This window comes from Homo sapiens, chromosome 3, assembly GCF_000001405.40.
Source record: "Homo sapiens chromosome 3, GRCh38.p14 Primary Assembly".
Classification (NCBI taxonomy): domain Eukaryota; kingdom Metazoa; phylum Chordata; class Mammalia; order Primates; family Hominidae; genus Homo; species Homo sapiens.
This window is the reverse complement of record NC_000003.12, coordinates 115,729,128-115,737,783: the sequence shown is the minus strand read 5'-3', so window position 1 is coordinate 115,737,783 and position 8,656 is coordinate 115,729,128.

Below are 8,656 nucleotides of genomic sequence, written 5' to 3'. Positions count from 1 at the left end.
GGAAACCAGGGTCTGGAGTGGACCTCCAGCAAACTCCAACAGATCTGTAGCTGAGGGACCTAACTGTGAGAAGGAAAACTAACAAACAGAAAGGAATAGCAACAACATCAGCAAAAAGGATGTCCACACAAAAACCCCATCTGTAGGTCACCAACATCAAAGAACAAAGGTATATAAAACCACAAAGATGGGGAGAAACCAAACCAGTACAGCTGAAAATTCTAAAAACCAGAGCGCCTCTTCTCCTCCAAAGGATCGCAGCTCCTCGCCATCAATGGAACAAAGCTGGACAGAGAATGACTTTGACAAGCTGACAAAAGTAGGCTTCAGAAGGTCAGTAATAACAAACTTCTCTGAGCTAAAGGAGGATGTTCGAACCCATCGCAAGGAAGCTAAAAAACCTTGAAAAAAGACAGAGAAATGGCTAACTAGAATAAACAGTGTAGAGAAGACCTTAAATGACCTGATGGAGGTGAAAACCATGGCATGAGAAGTACATGATGCATGCACAAGCTTCAATAGCCAATTCGATCAAGTGGAAGAAAGGGTATCAGTGATTGAGGATCAAATTAATGAAATAAAGTGAGAAGAGAAGTTTAGAGAAAAAAGAGTAAAAAAGGCCAGGCTCGGTGGCTCACGCCTGTAATCCCACCACTTTGGAAGGCTGAGGCAGGCAGATCATGAGGTCAGGAGATCGAGACCATCCTGGCTAATATGGTGAAACTCCATCTCCACTAAAAATACAAAAAATTAGCCAGGCATGGTGGCAGGCACCTGTAGTCCCAGCTACTAGGGAAGCTAAGGCAGGAGAATGGCATGAACCTGGGAGGTGGAGATTGCAGTGAGCCAAGATCATGCCACTGCACTCCAGCCTGGGTGACAGAGTGAGACTCAAAAAAAAAAAAAAAAAAAAAAAAAAGAGCAAAAAGAAATGAACAAAGCCTCCAAGAAATATGGGACTATGTGAAAAGACAAAATCTACGTTTGATTGGTGTACTTGAAAGTGACAGGGAGAATGGAACCACGTTGGAAAACGCTCTTCAGGATATTATCCAGGAGAACTTCCCCCACCTAGCAAGGCAGGCCAACATTCAAATTCAGTGAATACAGAGAACATCACAAAGACATTCCTTGAGAAGAGCAACCCCAAGACACATAATTATCAGATTCACCAAGGTTGAAATGAAGGAAAAAATGTTAAGGGCAGCCAGAAAGAAAGGTCGGGTTACCCAGAAAGAGAAGCCCATCAGACTAACAGCGGATCTCTTGGCAGAAACTCTGCAAGCCAGAAGAAAGTGGGAGCCAATATTTAACATTCTCAAAGAAAAGAATTTTCAGCCCAGAATTTCATATCCAGCCAAACAAAGCTTCACAAGTGAAGGAGAAATAAAATCCTTTACAGATAAGCAAACGCTGAGACATTTTGTCACCACCAGGCCTGCCTTACAAGAGATCCTGAAGGAAGCACTAAATATGGAAAGGAAAAACGGGTACCAGCCACTGCAAAAAACATACCAAATTGTAAAGACCATTGATGCTAGGAAGAAACTGCATCAACTAATTGGCAAAATAACCAGCTAACATAATAATGACAGGATCAAATTCACTCATAACAATATTAACCTTAAATGTAAATGGGCTAAATGCCCCAATTAAAAGACACAGACTGGCAAATTGGATAGAGTCAAGACCCATCAGTGTGCTGTTTTCATGCGACCCATCTCACATGCAGAGACACACATAGGCTCAAAATAAAGGGATGGAGGAATATCTACCAAGCAAATGGAAAGCAAAAAAAAAAAAAAAAAGCAGGGGTTGCAATCCTAGTCTCTGATAAAACAGACTTTAAACCAACAAAGATCAAAAGAGACAAAGAAGGCCATTACATAATGGTAAAGGGATCAATTCAACAAGAAGAGCTAACTATCCTAAATATATATGCACCCAATACAGGGGCACCCAGATTCATAAAGCAAGTTCTTAGAGACCTACAAAGAGACTTAGACTCCCACACAATAATAATGGGACAATTTAACACCCCACTGTCAATATTAGACAGATCAATGAGACAGAAGGTTAATAAGGATATCCAGGACTTGAACTCAGCTCTGCACCAAGCAGACCTAATAGACATCTACAGAACTCTCCACCCCAAATCAACAGAATATACATTCTTCTCAGCACCACATCGCACTTATTCCAAAATTGACCACATATTTGGAAGTAAAGCACTCCTCAGCAAATGTAAAAGAATAAAAATCACAACAAACTGTCTCTCAGACCACAGTGCAATCAAATTAGAACTCAGGATTAAGAAACTCACTCAAACCTGCACAACTACATGGAAACTGAATAACCCGCTCCTGAATGACTACTGGGTAAATAACAAAATTAAGGCAGAAATAAAGATGTTCTTTGAAACCAATGAGACCAAAGACACAACGTACCAGAATCTCTGGGACACATTTAAAGCAGTGTGTAGAGGGAAATTTATAACACTAAATTCCAACAAGAGAAAGCAGGAAAGATCTAAAATTGACACCCTAATGTCACAATTAAAAGAACTAGAGAAGCAAGAGCAAACAAATTCAAAAGCTAGCAGAAGGCAAGAAATAACCAAGATCAGAACAGAACTGAAGGAGATAGAGACACAAAAAAAAACTTCAAAAAAATCAATGAATATAGGAGCTTGTTTTTTGAAAAGATCAACAAAATTGATAGACCTCTAGCAAGACTAATAAAGAAGAAAAGAGAGAAGAATCAAATACAGGTGATAAAAAATGATAAAGAGGATATCACCACCGATCCCACAGAAATACAAACTACCATCAGAGAATACTATAAACACTTCTACTCAAATAAACTAGAAAATCTAGAAGAAATGGATAAATTCCTGGACACATACACCCCCCCGAGACTAAACCAGGAAGAAGTTGAATGTCTGAATAAACCAATAACAGGCTCTGAAATTGAGGCAATAATTAATAGCCTAACAACCAAAAAAAGGCCAGGACCAGACGGATTCACAGCCGAATTCTATCAGAGTTACAAAGAGGAGCTGGTACCATTCGTTCTGAAACTATTCCAATCAATAGAAAAAGAGGGAATCCTTCTTAACTCATTTTATGAGGCCAGCATCATCCTGATACCAAAGCCTGGCAGAGACACAACAAAAAAAGAGAATTTTAGACCAATATCCCTGATGAACATCGATGCAAAAATCCTCAATAAAATACTGGCAAACCGAATCCAGCAGCACATCAAAAACCTTATCCACCATAATCAAATCGGTGTTATCACTGGGATGCAAGGCTGGTTCACCATATGCAAATCAATGAACATAATCCATCACATAAACAGAACCAATGACAAAAGCCACGTGATTATCTCAATAGATGCAGAAAAGGCCTTCGACAAAATTCAACAACCCTTCATGCTAAAAACTCTCAATAAACCAGGTATTGATGGAACATATCTCAAAATAATCGGAGCTATATATGACAAACCTACAGCCAATATCATTCTGAATGGGCAAAAACTGGAAGCATTCCCTTTGAAAACTGGCACAAGACAGGGATGCCCTCTCTCACCACTCCTATTCAACATAGTGTTGGAAGTTCTGGCCAGGGCAATCAGGCAAGAGAAAGAAATAAAGCATATTCAATTAGGAAAAGAGGAAGTCAGACTGTCCCTGTTTGCAGATGACATAATTGTATATTTAGAAAACCCCATCATCTCAGCCCAAAATCTCCTTAAGCTGATAAACAACTTCAGCAAAATCTCAGGATACAAAATCAATGTGCAAAAATCACACACATTCCTGTATACCAATAACATGCAAACAGAGAGCTAGATCCTGAGTGAACTCCCATTCACAATTGCTACAAAGAGAATAAAATACCTAGGAATCCAACTTACAAGAGATGTGAAGGACCTCTTCAAGAAGAACTACAAATTGTACACTGCTCAATGAAATAAAAGAGGACCCAAATAAATAGAAGAACATTCCATGCTCATGGTTAGAAAGAATCAATATCGTGAAAATGGCCATACTGCCCAAGGTAATTTATAGATTCAATGCCACCTCCATCAAGCTACCAATGACTTTCTTCACAGAATTGGAAAAAATGACTTTAAAGTTCATATGTCTTAGCATTGCCAAGACAATCCTAAGCCAAAAGAACAAAGCTGGAGGCATCACGCTACCTGACTTCAAACTATACTACAAGGCTACAGTAACCAAAAAGCACGGTACTGCTACCAAAACAGAGATATAGATCAATGGAACAGAACAGAGGCATCAGAAATAACACCACACATCTACAACCATCTGATCTTTGACAAACCTGACAAAAACAAGCAATGGGGAAAGGATTCTCTATTTAATAAATGGTGCTGAGAAAACTGGCTAGCCATATGTAGAAAGCTGAAAGTGGATCCCTTCCTTACACCTTATACAAAAATTAATTCAAGATGGATTAAAGACTTAAACGTTAGACCTAAACCCATAAAAACCCTAGAAGAAAACCTAGGCAATACCATTCAGGACATAAGCATGGGCAAGGACTTCATGACTAAAACACCAAAAGCAATGGCAACAAAAGCCAAAATTGACAAATGGGATCTAATTAAACTAAAGAGCTTCTGCACAGCAAAAGAAACAGCCATCAGAGTGAACGGCAACTTACATAAAGGGAGAAAATTTTTGCAATCTACCCATCTGACAAAGGGCTAATATCCAGAATCTACAAAGAACTTAAACAAATTTACAAAGAAAAAAAAACCCATCAAAAAGTAGGCAAAGTGTATAAGCAGACACTTCTCAAAAGAAGACATTTATGCAGCCAACAGACAAATGAAAAAATGCTCATCATCACTGGCCATCAGAGAAATCCAGATCAAAACCACAGTGAGATACCATCTCACACCAGTTAGAATGGCGATCATTAAAAAGTCAGGAAACAACAGATGCTGGAGAGGATGTGGAGAAATAGGAACGCTTTTACACTGTTGGTGAAACTAGTTCAACCATTGTGGAAGACAGTGTGGTGATTCCTCAAGGATCTAGAACTAGAAATACCATTTGACCCAGCAATCCCATTACTGGGTATATACCCAAAGGATTATAAACCATTCTACTATAAAGACACATGCACACGTGTGTTTATTGCGGCACTATTCACAATACAGACTTGGGACCAATCCAAATGTCCATCAATGATAGACTGGATTAAGAAAATGTGACTCATATACACCATGGAATACTATGCAGCCATAAAAAAGGATGAGTTCATCTCCTTTGCAGGGACATGGATGCAGCTGGAAACCATTCTCAGCAAACTATCAGCAAACTATCACAAGGACAGAAAACCAAACACCACATGTTCTCACTCATAGGTTGGAATTGAACGATGAGAACACTTGGACACAGGGTGGGGAACATCACACCCCAGGGCCTGTCATGGGGTGGGGGGCAGGGGGAGGGATAGTATCAGGAGAAATACCTAATGTAAATTACAGGTTAATGGATGAAACAAACCAACATGGCACATGTATACCTATGTAACAAACCTGCACGTTTTGCACTTGTACCCTACAACTTAAAGTATAATTTTTAAAAAAGAGAAAAAAAACCATGTGATTATCTCATTAGGTGCAAAAAAGGGACTTCAATAGAATTAAAAATACCTTCATGTTAAAAACTCTCAATAAACTAGGTATTGATGGAACATACTTCAAAATAATAAGAACTATTTATAACAAACCCACACCCAATATCATACTGAATGGGCAAAACCTGGAAGCATTCCCCTGGAAAACTGGCATAAGACAAAGATGCCCTCTCTCACCACTCCTATTCAGCATAATATTGGAAGTTCTAGCAAGAGCAATCAGGCAAGAGAAAGAAATAAAGTGTATCCATATAAGAAGAAAGGAAGTCAAACTGTCTCTATTTGCAGATGACATGATCCTATATCTACAAAAGTCCATCCTCTCAGCCCAAAAGCTTCTTAAGCTGATAAGCAACTTCAGCAAAGTCCTGGGGTAAAATATCTGTGTGCAAAAATCATAAGCATTCCTATATACCAACAATAGACAAGCAGAGAACTAAATCATGAATGAACTCCCATTTACAATTGCTACAAAGAGAATAAAATAACTAGGAATACAGCTAACAAGGGAAATGAAGGACCTCTTCAAGAAGTACACACCACTGCCCAAAGAAATCAGAGAGGACCCAAACAAATGGAAAAACATTCTATGCTCAAGGAAAGAAAGAATCAATATTGTGAAAATGGCCATACTGCCCAAAGCAATTTATAGATGCAATGGTATTCCCATTAAATTACCACTGACATTCTTCACAGAATTGGAAAAAAACTACTTTAAAATTCATATGGAACCAAAAAAGAACATGAATAGCCAAGACAATCCTAAGCAAAAAGAACAAAGCTAGAGGCATCACACTACCTGACTTCAAACTATATTATAAGCCTACAGAAACCAAAACAGCATGGTACTGGTAGAAAAACAAACACATAGACCAATGGAACAGAATAAAGAACTCAGAACCAAGACCATGCATCTACAACCATCTGATCTTCAACAAACCTGACAAAATCAAGCCATGGGGAAAGAATTCCCTATTTAATAAACGGTGCTGGAAGAAATGACTAGCCATTGCAGAAAATTGAAACTGGACCCCTTCTTTACACCTTATACAAAAATTAACTCATGATGGATTAAAGACTTAAATGTAAAACCAAAAGCTATAAAACCCTAGAAGAAAATCTAGGCAATATCATTCAGAACATAGGCACTGGCAAAGATTTCATGATGAAAACTTTTGTCAAGCAAAAATTGACAAATGGGATCTAACAGACAGCCTCCAGAATGGGAGAAAATTTTTCAATCTCTCCATCTGACAAAGGTCTAATATCCAGAATCATAAGGAACTTAAACAAATTTACAAGAAAAAAAAACAAACTATCCCATTAAAAAGTACATGAACAGGCAAAGGACATGAACAGACACTTCTCAATGCCCATCAAAAACCACAATGAAATACTGTCTCATGCCAGTCAGAATGGCAATTATTAAAAAGTCCAGAAACAACAGATGCTGGTGAGGCTGTGGAGAAAAGGAACACTTTTACACTGTTGGTGGGAATGTAAATTAGTTTAACCATTGTAGAAGACAGTGTGGCAATTCCTCAAAGACCTAGAACCAGAAATACCATTTGACACAGCAATCCCATTACTGGGTATATAACCAAAGGAATATAAATTATTCTATTGTAAAAATATATGCACATGTATGCTCATTGCAGCACCATTTACAATAGCAAAGACATGGAATCAACCCAAATGCCCATCAATGATAGAACGGATAAAGAAAATGTGGTACAAATATGCCATGGAATACTATGAAGCCATAAAAAAGGAACAAGATCATGTCCTTTTCAGGGACATAGATGGAGCTGGAAGCCATTACCCTCAGCAAACTAACAAAAGAACAGAAAACCAAACACCACATGTTCTCACTTATAGGTGGAAGCTGAACAATGAGAACACATGGACACAGGGAGGAGAACAACACACACACTGGGGCCTTTTGCAGGGATCAGGGGAACAAGGGGAGAGAGAGAATCAGGAAAAACAGCTAATGCATGCTGGGCTTAATACCTAGGTGATGGGCTGATATGTGCAGCAACACACTCACCATGGCGCACGTTTACCTACGTAATAAACCTGTACATCCTGCACATGTATCCCAGAACTTAAAATAAAATATAAATAAAATAATAGGAAAAAAAAGAAAATATATTATCAACCTAATGGGGGAGAAATGATGATATGCTATGCACATTGCTTTAGACAACAAATGTTATTCTTATCCTACAAATATTGTGAAAATGTCCGAGAGCCAAGAAGTCAGGACCAGCTAGGTGGGAGCTTCCCTGGAGAGTCACTTATGCCTAGGGGTTTATTGGGGCTGGGGCAAACATGGAAAGGCTAATATATCATGAATCTTTTAAGTTGTAAATGATGGAAATATAATTTAAGCAAGCTTAAGCACAAAAGGGTATCAACACACGCTACTAAAAGTCCAAGAATAGTACTTACTTCAGGCATTGTTACATCTAGAGGACAAATGTTACCAGGACTGTCTCTTTCCTTTTCTTGGAAAGGCTCTCTCCTCCACATGGTGAGCAAACAGCCACTCTCTATAGAAGACTCACATTCCCTTGTTTAGAAATCCTACCAAAATGAATGGGGGGTTTTGTTTTGTTTGTTTGTTTGTTTGTTTGTTTGTTTTGCTAGCTTTGGCAGAAAACTCCAAGGGAGAGCACATCTAGAGTCACGTGTCTGTGCTTAAATCAATCATTGTACCAGGAGATGTGATGGTCTGATTGGCCTGACCTGGTTCTTGTATCTCTTCTATGTTGAGGGTGAGGAGAAGAATCAGAATTGGCTCCATTGAAGCTAAATAGAATAGGAAGAGGTAATGTATCATCAGAGGAATGTGAAAAGATGCTGGGTGGGCCAGAACACAGATGCCTCCTGCTAAGGAATGTAACAAGACAGTGGTCCATGGATGAATCTACAGTTAGAAAGAGCCAATTTTAAGGAGCAAGTAAAGTACTTAAAATAAA